The 15,895-nt window shown below is 37.8% G+C and overlaps 1 protein-coding gene across 3 annotated transcripts in view; it reads right to left on the reverse strand.

Moving 5' to 3' along the window:
• The window catches only part of GADL1 (glutamate decarboxylase like 1), a 168,465-nt gene that overhangs the window by 140,386 nt on the left and 12,184 nt on the right, over window positions 1–15,895 (reverse strand). The window contains exon 1 of one of the 3 annotated variants that reach the window (XM_017006297.2): window positions 8,653–9,134. The exons of the other annotated variants lie outside the window; for them this stretch is intronic. The gene's annotated coding sequence lies outside the window, so the exon portion shown is untranslated. Of the gene's footprint in view, window positions 1–8,652; window positions 9,135–15,895 lie in introns of those variants that run through there. 3 annotated transcript variants of the gene reach the window in all.

The raw sequence follows: 15,895 nt of genomic DNA on the forward strand, positions 1-15,895 counted from the left end.
CAAGTGGCTGGTGAGTTATCACCTCTGGAAGGGCAGGAAGAGAGGACCACAGTGGTTGGGGGTTCCCCTGTGAGAAGAGCAGAGCTTCCTCCACCATGTTCAGAACGCAAGATGGTAGCTGAGTAGTTCAGCCCACACTGGGTAGGCAGCTTCCTAGACCTTCTGCCTTGTTGCTTTCCACCTTGCCCTGTGTTTACCTGTGTAGAGGTTTTATTTCTTATACCAGATTATAAACCTACAGAAAAAAGCCATGTCTCATTTTACTGACCATTCCAGAAACAGAGTTCAGCAACTGGCTTTCAATAGCTCTCTGAGGACTGACTGGCTGACTGTATATTTACTTTGGAAGTCATCTTATCTAACCTTTTCATACAATCCAATAATTCCCTCCACAACCTGTGGCCCAGACATGAGAAGAGCTGACTTCTAGTCCCACTTGATCACTCCCAAGTTCTCTGATCCTGAAATAATACAACCTCTCTGTGCCTGTTTTCTCATCTATAAAAATTGGAGCCCATCTGAGGAAAGTGATCTGCTAGCTTCCAAAAAATTCCTGGGAAAATTAATGAAGATTCAGAATCCGGATTCCTACCCAAAAGGATTCTATGTGGAGCCTAGGATCTAAAATTTCAGGAAGTATTCCCATTTATATTAATAATACTGAAATACACTAATATGCAGTGGGTATGGAAATGGCTATTCTGGGTGACCTCTAAAGTCCTTCCAAAACTTCAAATCTTCAGTTGTCTAGCCCCTCTCTCTACTCCTTTAATAATTATGTATTTATCTTAAATATGCATCAATCTCCGAGAAGTTAAGAACTGAAAAATTACAATACTACATATATATATATATATACACATATATGTATATATATACATATATATGAGAGAGAGTACTTACTATGTGCCAGGCCCTGTTCTAAAAGTTTTACAGATTTAACAAATGTAATTGTAACAAACTCGTTACTCAGTTTTTCAGATGAGAAAACTGAGGCACAGAGAGGGTTTAATTCAGTTGAATTGCCTTGCCCAAGGTCACAGAACTAGTGAGTAGTGAAACTGAGGTAAATTTTTACTGAGTACTAAATATTTGCTGAAGTTCTATGAAGGATCAATGAGATTCTGCTTTATGGGTATCTACCATTAGCAAGGCATCATTAGGGAGTTAATAATGACAGCAAGACGAATTACTGTACTTGGGTAATTGGGGGCCTCAAAGTGCTGAATAACAGCAATAGAAGATAATAAGTGTCAAGTAGTGCCACGTGGAAGACACCAATAAAATATGCTGAATGTAAACAATGTAGACATTTGAAATTAAGGGTTGTGGTTATAGGAGAAGCTGAGGTGTCAGGGAAGATTTCTGAAATTAGAAGACCTGCCTTCTCTTTGAACATATGCACTAATAAATAATATACTTTTAAAACCTCATCACTTCTGAAGTAACAACTTCATTGACAGCTGCCCAGACCTCCCACCTTGTCACTTTCACAATGGTCACAAAACTTTTCCTGAGAGTGACTCCAAATATGCATTTCTGTCATGTCTATAGGCTTTTATAGTAAATGAGTTAAGTACATGGAATTTTTCTTCCACAGGACTGTAATCCAAATATGTGAAGACTTTTTATCAATGCTTTTAATTGTCAGTTAAAACTGCTCTCAGTTTTTTCAGTGGTTTCCGATAGTCCGTGGTCTGTAGTCTGGACCAATTTGCTTTTATCTTATAAAATGAGGCATCTCACAAAATTCCAGGTGTGATCTCACCAACTCTCAACATGGTGAACTCATATTTCCCATGCTCTGGTCACCATGATTTCATTAATAAAGCTTTTATTGACACCATAGTGGATTCCAAAGCCTGAGCTTTAAGTCCTGGCCCAAATTCTAACTCTGCTTCTGTGACCTTACTCATGTTATTTAACCTCTGTGTGATCCGTATTTCTTTTCTGGCAAATGGGGAAAACAGCTATGAGTCATTGAAAGGGTCAAATGTGGTAATGTGTGCAAGGTACTAAACAAAGTGCCAGGGACAGTGTAAAGAACTCAATAAATGATAACTATTAATGAGTTTCAGTCTATATGAACTCTCTTTTGGCACTCACGTTACACTGTTGGCTCAGGTAGAAGTCATAATTAGCAGTCTTAGGGTTTTGTCAGAAAGTCTGCCAGTAAAAGCCAAGTTTCCCATCCAAGTCTCTTTAATTGTTCAGAGCAAGTTAGCAATAGAAAAATAATGTTTGCTTTCAAAGGACAGAAATGAGAAACAATGAATCAAAAGTGAATCCAGACATCTGGTTGGGGGAGGCCAAGGAGCTCTTCAGAAAGTTAGTGCAAAGACGCTGGGGACCAAGGGAGGCAGAAGGGTCAGGACTTAGAGAATCCCGTAGGCCGGTCCAAGAGAGTCTGAGAAGCAAAGTTTAAGAGCTGGGGTAGTATTAATTAATAAATTAATAAGAGCCTCACCCAGCCTGGTGCCTGTGGATACAGAAGTAAAAAACAGTCTCTGTTCTCAAGTTGTTAAAAGTCTAGAAAGCGAATATTTAAGAAACCAGGGCAAAGAAAAATTGAGATTTAAAAAAACTGAAGATATATTTTCTCTTCTGGAGGTTTCTAAGTCAGGCATTTCTTCCAGGCTCAAAAGAATGGATGCCTAATTTACCTGATGTACCTGGTACATCAGCCTCATAGATTGTTTGCCACACTTTTGAATTTCACACTGGTTTTAAAGCTATTTTAGTTGTCTTAAAAATGACATGCCAATGAGAGCGGGTAACTGTGAACAACCTACAAAGAAGATGACTATGGGAAATATTAAGAAATAACAATAACACAAAGCCGTGAGAACAGAAGCTCTGAAGCTTTGGGTAATGGCGACAAATGTGGCAACTTAGTCCCTGGATCTAGCCCTGTGATTTGATAGAATCATAAAGAAGGCTTAGGGATTGAACCATTTCCACATCCAATCCACAAACATGAATTCAAAGGAGTAAACAGAAAACTATGTTTACAACTTTGTCAGCAAGAGATATGGGTATCTATTTTATTTTATTTTTTTTTGAAAAGAGCAAGACGAGAATTTTAATCATTTCTTTAGTCTCATCTTGGGGTCAAATTCTCCTTAGCTGAAATCCACAGTGAGCAGATACTTCTCTTACTCATACTTTCATGAGATAGTCATAAAATATTGAATTGCTACTATGTTCAAGACATTAGGGCAGGCACTATAGAAAACTTCAAGACCAAAAAGACACACAGATGGTGACCCCAAAATCCAATAAGGGAAATTAGACATGTTTATTAATACTTGAAATCCTATCCAAAAGGCATAAAGTTTGATAGGTGAAGTCAGATAAAACATACTGAAATTTCAGAGAAGGGTATTGTTTCTCAATGTGAGAAGCAGGAAGTCCTTCTGGATGAGGTGGCATTTGAGACAGACCTCCATTCATCCAATCAGCAAATACTTATATTTAGTGCCTATTATGTATAGAACTCTGTGTAAGGCATTTGAGGTTGAGCAATGAACAAGAAAAATTTACATTTAGTTGGGGTGGATAATATATGCAGTTAAGACAAACAGATAAATTATTAAAATAATGCAGGCTATAATGTTCTAAAGGAAATACCTGAATGACTTCATAGAATAAGGACAAGGAGCTATTGTAGATATAATTTGGAAAAAATGTTTCTGAACAGAAGATATCTGAATTGAGTTGTAAAAGAGAAGGAGAGCCAGACACGAAAGATATGGAAAGAGAATGATCCAGGAAGAAGGAACAGAAAATGCAAGCAATCAATAAGCTGGCTTCTTTAAGAAATGGAAAGAGATAAGTGTGGCCCAAGTGTGAGGGCAAGGGAAAGGAAGGGTGAAATTAGATTTGGAAATAGGGACTGGGAGCAGATCAGGTAAGGTCGTATTTTACTCTAAAATCAACAAGAAGCCACTTAAGGGTTTTAAACAGAGGAGTAACATGAACTGGCTTACATTTATGGAAGATTCCTCTGGATGCCGTGTAGAGAATGAACTGTCAAAAGACAGATGTGGAAATAGGGAGACTGCTTAGGTCACAACTGTAGAAGTCCAGGCAGTAGACAATGGGAACTTTGGTCTGGATGGTGGCAGACGAGATGGAGCAAAGTGCTGCAACTTGGGAGATATTTAGGTGATAAAGCTTAAAGAACTTGCGGATAGATTGGATGTAGGGGTCAAGAAAGCAAAAGAATTTAAAGTAATTCTTAGGTTTGAGACCCGAGCAATGAGACAGATGGTGACTAGTGAACCCTCTATACTGATCTGGGGAATGCTGGGGAAAAGCAAGTTAGACAAATGTGTGGCTGGGACATAGGAAGATCGACATTTTGACAAATTCATAGGAATTGGTCATGATGACATAGAGACAAGATTCATGCCATGGACATTCATGACAGAAAAAGCAACATGGACTAAGGCAGAAAAGTGTGTGTGTGTGTGTGTGTGTGTGTGTGTGTGTGTGTCCAAGAAACTCAAGTACTTCTGTTTGTCCAAGGGGCAGGGTCTGTAAATGAGGGAAGGAGCTTTTGAGAAAGAGGCAAGGAGACCAACCTTGCAGGGACTTCAGTAGAAACTGAGGAGTTCAGCTGTTACTTACTGAGTGGGCAATAGGAGGCCACTGAAAGCTGTTGATGGGATAAGAAGACTGCCTTAGAAAGATGAAGCGGGACTGGTGTAAAGTTTAGGTGTGAAACCAAGAATTGAAGGAAGAGAGAAATGATGGCAATAATCCAGGCCAGGGAGAGGGAGGAAATGAACTAAATAGTAGACAGGATGGTAGGTTTACATTTTATTTTATACTCTCTCCTACAATACCATTACTGAATTTGAGCCAGGTATCCCATATCTTTGTAAAGAGTTCTACAACTGTCAATGGATAGACAGCTTTTCTCTCCTCCAGTAAGTCTATGTTCTAAAAATGATCATTAGATAAAAAGTGACAGAATAAGATGGGAGAAAATCACTCTGTGCATCAGCACCTTTCTTGAAAAGCACAGATGAACATGTAATATTTCTGGGAGGGAACATGTTCCCGTCACCCAGAGTTTTACATTATGAGACTACGTTGTGTTAGAATCTCAGATACCACTCAGATAATTCTGATTCTACTGAAACACCAAGGCATCCCCACAAACCAAAGAGCCAGGTCCATAAACACCATCCAGCTTCTGAGAGAACGTGCTCCTCAGAAGGGAGTCTCTGAAACAGCCAGAAAAATAGCTGGCAGTGTCCTACCAATAGCCAATAAATACATAGTACATCATAAACCCTGCTTATTTTAATTTCAGTAATGTTTTTCTTTCACTGGGCACAAGGCCAGGAATTAGATAACCTAATCTTTTCAAGAGAGTAGATTTTTCAGAGACACTTACTCCTATTGCTTGAGTAAATATTACTTGATAAGGGGCATGACGTGCTGCAATTGTATATCTTAGATTGTCATATTAATAAGGCAGCTCTCCAAACCACCTCCACCCACCAAACCATTTCTAAATCTTTTGAACTTCTATAATGGGTACAAATTCAGCTTGAAAACACTTATGCAATTGGGCTCCATGAAAAAAATTTGACTTAACATAGCCATTTAGTAAATTTTATCCCTGTCCTTCAGTCCCAGTTTGGAGCACTTTACTCGATCATATCCTTTAATGTGGCTTAGTGGTAGCTACTGCACCACAGAGCAGTATTTTCCTCAGGAGCTGTATCTTCCTTCTTCTCTCCATTAACCACTGTCACCCCCCATAGTCATAGTTTCTGTTGGCATTTTCCTCCTCTGACATCTTGGCTGTTTGTCCTTTCTTATTCTTCATCCTTTTCTTGTCTATATACATTTATAAAACACCAGGTTTCACTCATTGCTTTAATGGTAACTTCTGTGTTTTCTGAGATTCAGGGCTGAGTAAATAGAAGGCCTGTTTTTAGTTTGCTTGTTTACTTGAGGCCATTTTTGGTCTAACTAGCATCCCAACTAGAACCACCCTTCCCCTAGGACATGGTCTTGGTGATACTGTCAGTTAAATACCCTTTTGTGGGTATCTCCAAGTTCTAAGTTTTCCAGATCTCAAGTCACCTTGGTTCCTGTCTTATTTAAGACCTAATTATTTATCTTTCTCTAATTCTGTGAGCTTTCTAAGATACTCTCAATAAACTCCCCCTTTTGGTGAGCAAGAGTCATTCTGCACTCTGTGAAACTAGAGAGCCATATGAATACTCTGAGTAGCTTGGATTCTGTAGCCATTTCCAACTGATGAAAATTAAAACCAACTAGACACACCTTACTAAGTATACTCTCTTGACCTTCAGAGTCTCTCATCTATTTACACTGTTTTCCAAAACTTGGAGGTCAACCAGTTACTGTCAGACAATAAATATGCTGTTTTTTTTCTAACTTTCTTCCCATGTATAATTCTGGATGCTTGAGGTCAGTGTGTATAGTGCAGTCATAGCAAAAAGAGTCCAGGGCAGTGCTGCCAAAAAGAAATATAATGCAAGCCACTGACACAAGCCACCTGAGTAATTCTATCTTCTCTAGTAGCTTTTCTAGTTGTAGTGTGGCATAAATGAAACAAAAATATAATTGCACTTATAAAATAATAATGGTTAACATTTAATGGATACTTACAATGGACCAGGTATTGGGATATACACTTTATATATTTATATACATATATATGAGGTTATTTCATTTAATCCTCATAACTGCCTTATGATGAAGATATCTTTATTAACTCTATTTTATAGATAAGAAAACTGAAGTTAGAGAAAGAGAATTGCCCAAGTCATATAGCTAGTAAGTGGTGGAGCCAGAATTCAAAGCCAGGCAGCCTGATTCCAGATGCCATGTTAATAATTACCATATTCTCCTTTTTTCCAAAAAAGGCAAGGAAGAACATATTGCTTTCTGTGTCTTATCAACCACACTAAACTATTTGGATACATTTTTGTACTCCTAAAGCAATAAGCGATTATCTTAGAAGTATGTATTAAATTGCAATGTGTTACAATTAATATATAGTTTTAAAACCAATTTGCTCAAGTGTTGACTACAGGACTTTAAATGAATTCCATTTAACCAGCAATTTAAATGAAAATTTAAATAAATGCTATAAATGGGTGCCTCATTTGCATCATCTGTTGATTTACTCTGATATGGGGATTATCTTTGCCCAGGGTTCTGCCTCCTTAGGGCTTTGGTGAATCATTTTCTAGGTGAACAGGAGGCACTTACTCTCAGCTCTCTTGCTTCTCAATGCACATGTTGTAACATTCACATGTGGCCACCTTCAGATACAGAAAACTGTACTTACCAAATTCCTTTAGAGTTACTAAATGTGATTGGAAAGTACATATTGAGAAGCTCATTGGAATGGCAGTAAAACCTTTCCAAGGGGTACATTTAAATTAAAACAGATGGTCCAAACTGCCTTCTAGGGAGGGAGGACACTGTTACCTGCAAGAAAAATGCATTGCTGAGTAGGGTTTGCAAATCTGGGGCCAGAGCTTGAATTTCTTAGTGAAGTAGGTAGTGAAGAGGGTGAGGCTGAAACTCATCCCTTTATGCCACACAGATTCAGCTTCACCTCTATATAAAATTGGAGCAAATGTCCTAAAAATTGTAGCTTCCTGGGAGTCATCACAGTAACACAAACTACATTATAGATTGTACCGCTGGAGTGGCAAATGCAGGTGCCCTGAGGAATGCCCACACATCTCACTGCTACTGTAATGTTGAGAAATGAAGTACTCGCAGAACACTGCCTAACAGATCATAGTGACACTGGCCTGGGTTATTCCTCAGCTGAAACTCACTGAGAGATGGGTTTGGAACCATCTAGGATATGGGCCAAGGATGTTTTTGGCCATTTATGTGTAAGATTTTGGGATCTTAGAGCTTTACAAGCACTTACAGATCAGTTAGCAAATGTCCTCATGTTGAATTTGAGAGAACCAAGGTTTGATGACACAGAGATTGCTTGAAGCCTGTGTAACCCCTTCTAAAGATTCACCAGATCCACTAAGTGTTATCTACATTCCACCACTCGTAAGCATCTAGAACCTATTTCATATAATCGTAGCTAGCATTTATTTAGTGCTTACTCTATGCCATGTTTTTGTAGGTCCTTTGTAAACAGCAGCACATTTATACAAAACAACAACTCTTTGAAAATACAAACAACTAAACTCACTCTGGTTAAGTAAAGCAGAAAAAAACCTGCTTGAAGGGTATATCAGCTGTCTATAGTTGTACCAAAAAAGGAACCCAAAATTTAGTAGCTTAAAGCAGCACCAACGTACATAATTGCTTCGGGGTAATTCTGGTCTTGCCTGGGCTCACTCACACAACTGCATCCAACCTGTGCATTGGCTCAGAGCTCAGCTCAGCCAGGAAGATTGAGATGGCTGGGTCTTTCTATGTAGGCTTTTATTATCAAAGAGATAAGACTTGTCTTCCTCATAAAGTAATACCAGCTTTGAAGACAGTGAAGGCAAAAGCTACAGCACCTCTTGAGATCTCAGATGATTTGTCATAAATATCACTTCTGCTGTCTAGTGGTCAAAGCAAGTAGCAAAAGCAGCCAGACTCAAGGATATAGAGAAAAAAAAAAAAAAAGCTCACCTCTTGATGACAGAAGGCAGTTGTCACATCATTGCAAAGTGGTAAGCATACTAGGAAGAAAGGATTCTGAAACCAATTTTGCAATCTATCATAGTCCAGTCTCTGATCAAAATTCATATTCCTCTCATCCACAAAATATCCTCATTCCCATATGAGGACCTTCCAAAATCTTATCTCATTATAGAATTAGGCTTGAAGTCCAGAATATCGTGGTCTGTGTCTTGTCTATAGGCAGACAAGACTGTTCAGTTATGTTCTTGGTCCAGAGACCCCTAAACTAAAAACACAAGTTATCAGATGTCGCACACAACATACAATAGTCATGCAGGCCAGGATAATTTCTGCAGACACTCTCACGAAAGAATAGGAGGCAGAGGGTAATCACTGTCTTACAGCAGTTCTGAAATCCCGCTGGGCACATACTTCACATATTAAATAGGATCTGATTTGCCCTCTCGGGTGGTTTCCTAATCCAGTATTCTCTGTGGCCCTTGGCTCCACACTCTGGCAGAAGTGAAGCAGTGGCCCAGCCTCTCTGAAGTCAAATGCCGTGATGGGTAGATACAGACATACCAGCATATTGCAGTTTATCCTCACTCTCTTCTCATCTAGATGCTTGGTTATTGATCCTAGAGATATCATTCACACACAAGAAAAAGCTTCTCCAGCCCATTTCACTATCACAGTTTGGCAATTGGACACGCCTGGATTACCAGATTTTCCTACAAGCTCCAACTTGGCCATTCTTGCCAGTTCCTCAGGAAGCTGATCCGTGACTTTTCTCTGATTTCCAATTCTCCCTTATGAATGTTTTCTTCAGTTCCTGCTACAATTGTGTGTAAGGTCTAATTCCTATAATACATTCCATATTCTATAATGTTCTATACATATAATATGTTACTGTATTTAATCTTCACAACAGCCATGCAAGTTACATACTAACATCCCCGTTTTATAAATGAGGATATTAAATCTGAGAGAAGTTAAGTAACTTGCCCAAGGCTACACAGCTAGAAGGTATCAGAGATCAAATTCAAATAGGTCTATATGATTCTCAAACCTATGATTGTAACCCCTATTTTCCATTTATGGAAAGAGATGGGATAGGGACAGTAATGTGTACTGATAAATTGGTTTCTGAAGAAAAGGCTCTGATTGGTAGCATTCGCCTATTTCTATGGTGTAAAGACGCCGATCATGGCTAATTTCAGGGCCAATTTTAAAACTGGCTCACAACATTTCTGAATATTTAACACTTGTAATGAACAAGTATGAGGTGGTTTCAGCATGCCTCTGCATGGGGAGCCAAGAAAACAAAAGTTCATCAATTGAAAAAATAACAGAAACGGAGTAGAGTGTTTCTTCAGGTGTCTCTTCCATGCACAGGCTCTCTAATTTCCAAATGTTAGCATCTCATATTTTTGCCTGCAGCCTATTTTGGTCAGAACCTACTCTTGCCCACTTACATGCCAAGTGTGAAGATCTAAAAAATAAATATCCATAGCTCAGCATCCTTCAACCAATAAGTGATAGAAACTGATGTATTAATAGCCAACTTTCTTGTTCTTCACATGTGGTAACACTAATGTCTGTCTTCTTCATTAACACCCAGAGTTACCCAGCAGGATTAAGCTTTAGTTACCCACAGTGAGAAATACCTTACTTTATTATGCATCCTCTATTGGCTGTCTCCCTGAAATCACCTTACAAACTAACTAACCACACTCTAATTCTTGATTCAGAGTCTGATTCTGAAAAATCTAACAAATACCTATTATTTTTTGAATCCCAATGGACCAGAAAGACACTGTACTAGGCACTTATATTACACGTTTTTGGACAAATATTCATAGCACCCTAGAAGGCAAGTATACCCAGTTCTACAAATATGGAAATATGAGGATCAGAGAGGTTAGTTAACTCTATGGAGGTCACATAGCTGATATAGTAAATAGCAGCGCTGATATTCAAATTATGATCAATTGTAACATCTCTTCTCTTTCCATGAATCTATGCAGCCTCTCTCACCAGAAAGATTGAACTAACACACATGAAACAATAAAAGAACAATTAAATGCTAAGCTGACATATTGTATTGAACAATTTTGGGCAAAACTGTCATCAAACTTATGTTCCGCAATTACTTTCTAAAATTCTCTTTTTTGTGCCATCAACTTGAAAAATAAGGCCACTGACTAATATTAGGGAATCCAATTTTTCATAAGTTTTCTTTATCCTCTATCACTGCATCATACAAATTAGGTACTGAAATAAAACTGAGTGTCATGACAGAATATACCATGATGAAAATGCATATGAAGGAAATACATTGCTTGGGTATATTTTTCGGCCCACATAGCATCTGAAAAATCAGATACATCATAAAATACCAACTAAGTCTCTATTGATTTTGTAAGTCAACACAAAGTATTAAAAGATCAAACAACACAGCATACAGAGTGCTGAAATGGGAATAGTCTTATCAGCTAACAACATCAGCAAAGGAAGGACTTTGATTTGACTTTTGTCTGTTAAAGGGGCAAAATCTGAAGTGTGGAAATTTAAGATGGTTAATGGTGTAGTATTACCATATAGATTTTAATATTTAACCATAATAGATTTTAATATTTAACAGTGGCTTGCTGTCATCAAGTAATTTAGATAGTTGCTCTACAATATTTAACATGAAGAAGGTCCTGAATGCTGAAATTATTAGCACTACACCAAAAAATCTCAGATGCTGGTAGAAACACACATAAATTCCAAGTATGATTTGATCAGTGTCTTACAGGTTTTGTTTCTTACTTTTAATTACCTGTCCTGGTGATATGCACAAAAGGGAACCCTCTGGAGTTTGGGGTGAGAGTTTTAGCCCTGACTCTGGCCCCCAAGTAGCTCTGTGGCTGCAAGTACTTTAACCTTTCTGGTTAAATGATACTCTCAGTTAAATAATGCTCTACAAAACACCTTGTCACTCTAACAATGATTCTATGGCTAAAGCCTAATTTTAAAATTAAGTTCTTATTTACGTAACTAACAAAGATCACATTCTACCATTTCTAAAAGTGGTCCTTATTAGTGCTCTTCAGAACCATAAATTTCTAAAATCGTCCAGGACCTTCATGGAAGTAGCTCAGGGAAGGAAGTGATGGAGAACATGAGCAAGTAGTCTTTTTGGCCCATGAGGCCTACTTTAGGTATAGAAATGCAATTTTAACTGAAGTATCTCTGTAAATTATTTTCCTTAAACAAACAGGCTGGAATGAATGCATGAATACTTTGGCTTAAATTATAATATGACTGATAGACATTTGATACCCATCTCTTTTCCCTCTTCATAAAATGCATAACTTATCTACTGAGACTTACTTATCACAGGACACTCCACTCAGAGGCCTGAGACCCAGCTTTGAACATATTTACCTTTGGCAACTGCACTTATCCAAAGACAGTGCCAGTGGCAGTGGCACTAGCTGAAGCAGTCAATTCCATTTGTTTTAAGCGTATTGTGGTGCTATCATTTTTATGACACTAGGGTATATAGAGAAAATATAGTATCCTTATTATGTTCTTTAATTAATCCTGTCTTCCACATGAGCCCACATTGCTGAAAAAAAGGTAACAACATTTATTTTATTTAGTCCAATCTGGTTAAAACATGATATATAGTAAGTTAAACAGTTCGTTTAGGCAATGTTCTGTTTAACTGTGTAAACATGTTTGATATCTCAGATTTCCACTTCTCTGAATACTTTTCTTGATGACTTCTAGGTATGTGGGGAGTAAAGAATGTCTCACTCAACCTCAGAGTGGAGGAAGAGTGGTGGAGTCCTTGGATCACTGCAGTGTGTACTGACTGGTACCTTTGTCCCTGGGCAATCTCACTTGTCTACATCTTTAGAGCATTCATACCTGGCTGTCATGTGGGATGCATACTCATGGCTTCTTATCTCTCATGTTAGTCAGAGACTGGGGTTCTCTCTGAATGAGGTGGTCTCACTTTAGCTTTTGGTGATGGTATAGACATTTCTGGGCTTATGCCCCATCCTTCCTTGGCTCCCCAGTAGAGAAAATGCATCCCATAGCTTTTGCCTTCATCCTCATCAGAGAAAGCCCACTGGGAGGACCAAGGGTACTCAATTAATCTACCTTCCTCTGAGGACAAAAAGGCTTTTCTGAATCATTTCCACCCCTTGAAGAGATCAATACAGGCTCTCCCTCTCTATCCTACTTTAGTGAGCCATCACTTTGGCTTTGATAAGTCTGCAAGGTGATCTCCTCCAAGAGAAGCTGATAAAGGCCTATGTTGTTGCTTACCATATTTCCATAAAACTATCATATAACCATCCACTGTCTCTCCACCCCTGCTTCCATCCCAAGTAATAAGAAATCAAGAATGTGAATTTCTGCACTCGTCTCTCTTGCTTAATCCTTCTTTCTCTTCTCATTGTCACTTCCTGCCAGAAATGGAGATTTTTCCGTGACTTTGCCTGCATTAAATATTACTTTTTCTTGATGCTAGCCTCATGGGTAGCCATTGAAGGTGCACAAAAATATCTTTTCTGCACCAGGAAAAAAACTCTGTAATTTTGTTCTCTAGGCAAAATTGGTTAAGTTAAAGGGAAAATAAAAGAATGTAGAAAGCCCAAGGCAATAGTCGGAATGATAAAATTATTGTTTTGCTTTGAAACTCCTATTTTGACTGCCTGAATCTAAACAGTAACTGCCTTTCTCTTTGCATTCTACTTACAAAGATCAGAATCTTTCACAGCCAGACACTGCTGGCATAAAGGAAGGAGGTATTCATAAAGGCAGCAGAAGAAAAGCACAGTAATTTTTTAAATACATTCCTGAAAACACAGTCCTCTGCCTCTGAGTTATACATCTATGGATTCAATAAATATTTTAAGATATTAAATATTTTTAAAAACCAACAATGACAGTGCAATAAAAAATACAATTTTTAAAATACAGTAAATATTTACATATCATTTACATTGCATTAAGTATTGTAAGTAATCTAGAGATGATTTACGTATACAGGAGGATGTGCACAGGTTATATGCTGATATGGTTTGGCTGTGTCCCCACCCAAATCTCATCTTGAACTGTAGTTCCCATAATCCCCATGTGTCATGGGAGGCAACTGGTGGGAATTAATTGAATCATGGGAGTGGGTTTTTCCCATGCTGTTCTCATGATAGTGAATAAGTCTCATGAGATCTGATGGTTTTTATAAAGGACAGTTCCCCTGCCCACACTCTTGCCTGCTGCCATGTAAGATGTGCCTTTGCTCCTTCTTTGCCTATGCCATGATTGTGAGGCCTCCCCAGCCATGTGGAATTGTGATTCCATTAAACCTCTTTCTTTTATAAGTAACCCAGTCTCAGGTATATCCTTATAGCAGTTTGAGAATGGACTAATACATATGCAAATACTATGCCATTTTATATAAAGGAATTGAGCATCTTGTGGAGGATTTTGGTATCCACAGGAGGTCCTGGAACCAATTCCCTGCAGATTCTGAGGGATGACTGTACTCTAAAATTTTATGGAGGTGAGGATTAAATGACTGTAAATTTGTTAAAAATGGAATTGTACTCAAATTGATGAATGTTGTGGAATATAAATTAGACCTCAAGAAAGCTCCTAAAAAATTATATGCAGTATAAAAAAGAGTGAAACATAATTGGCCACCCCCTTTTCAGCTGTACTATGGACTCTTACTGGTGTTGCTTATGAGAGCAGTGCAAATGGAGAAAGTAAGGAAAGAAAGCATAGGCATTGTCCTTTTCCCTAAGGGTTAGAGATCAATCACATTCCCAGTGCAGTTAAGTGAGTAGAAAGCTGTAATATTCCTTTCAACTGGGACTTACCTCACAATTCTGTTTATATGTGTATCTCTTGAGCAATAAAATATTATCAGCTTTTCCAAATCATGGGCATAAATTGTAATTATGCTTGTATACATTTACATAAAAATATTTTCATTTACATACACTTTGTATGCAAGCTTCCTATCTGACAAAATCATATAACTAGAACATATGCAAGAATACAGAAGAATGCCAAAAATTAGAACAATGTGAAAGTAACAGATACTTAAACTCTTATAGTAGATCTTAACATTTTCAGAGGCAACCTAAATTACACTATATGTAATTCCAACCTTTTTTGGGCTAAAAAACTAGAAGACAAAACAATGGCTAAGCTTGTTAAATGCAATACACAAAAGCATCAAGTGGTGATTAAGGATGCTACTGGAATTCAAGAGAAGGAAGAAAATATCACTGACCTTCATGGGAGACCCTGATGAGGGAGATGGCAACAGTATAAAAAAAGATATAAGAACTCAAGAACAGCAATCTGAGATTGTTCAATGAAGGGACAAACAACTGGACACATCTCTACTCTTTAGAAAATATTACGTTATGATCAGTGCTGTCTAGCAATGTCAAAATACAACAAAAAAATGATAAATTTGTTAAGGGACTGCTATGGTTTGAATGCTTGTCTCCTCCAAAAACTCATGTTGAAATTTAATTGCTATTATAGCAGCATTAAAAGGTGGTACCTTTAAATACTATAAAAAGTAATTAGGTCATGAGGGCTCCAGCCTCATGGGTGGGGGTTGAAGTTGTTACAAAGGCAAGAGTGTAGCCTCCTGTTGCTGTCTTGCCTGTCTACCTTCCATCATGGAATGATGGAGCAAGAAGGCTTGCCAGATGTTGACCCCTCAATCTTGGACTTCTTAGCTCCAGAGCAGTAAGCCAATAAAATTGTTTATTATAAATTACCCATTCTGTGGTATTCTGTTATAGCAGCACAAAATAGACTAAGACAGTTTGACAAGTTTCTAAATAGTTTTACACACTTTTCTATCCTTAAAATATTTATTTTTTTTAATTAGGTATTTTTTATTGTGGTAAAACATGAATAATAAAATTTACCATCTTAACCATTTTTAAGTGTACAGCTCAGTAGTGTTAAGTATATTCACATTGTTTATTTGGACATATATAACAATGTTTCACATTGTGAAACAGATCTTCAAAATATTTTCATCTTCTAAAACTGAAACTGTATACTCATTGAATAATTCCACCTTCCCCCTCGCAATCCACTGGAAATCACCATCCTGTTTTCTGTTTCTGTGAATTTTACTACTTTAAATACCTCACATAAATGGAGTTATAGTATTGGTCTTTTTGTGACTGACTTCACTCTGCATAATGTGATGAAG

Source organism: Homo sapiens, chromosome 3, assembly GCF_000001405.40.
Source record: "Homo sapiens chromosome 3, GRCh38.p14 Primary Assembly".
NCBI classification, from domain to species: domain Eukaryota; kingdom Metazoa; phylum Chordata; class Mammalia; order Primates; family Hominidae; genus Homo; species Homo sapiens.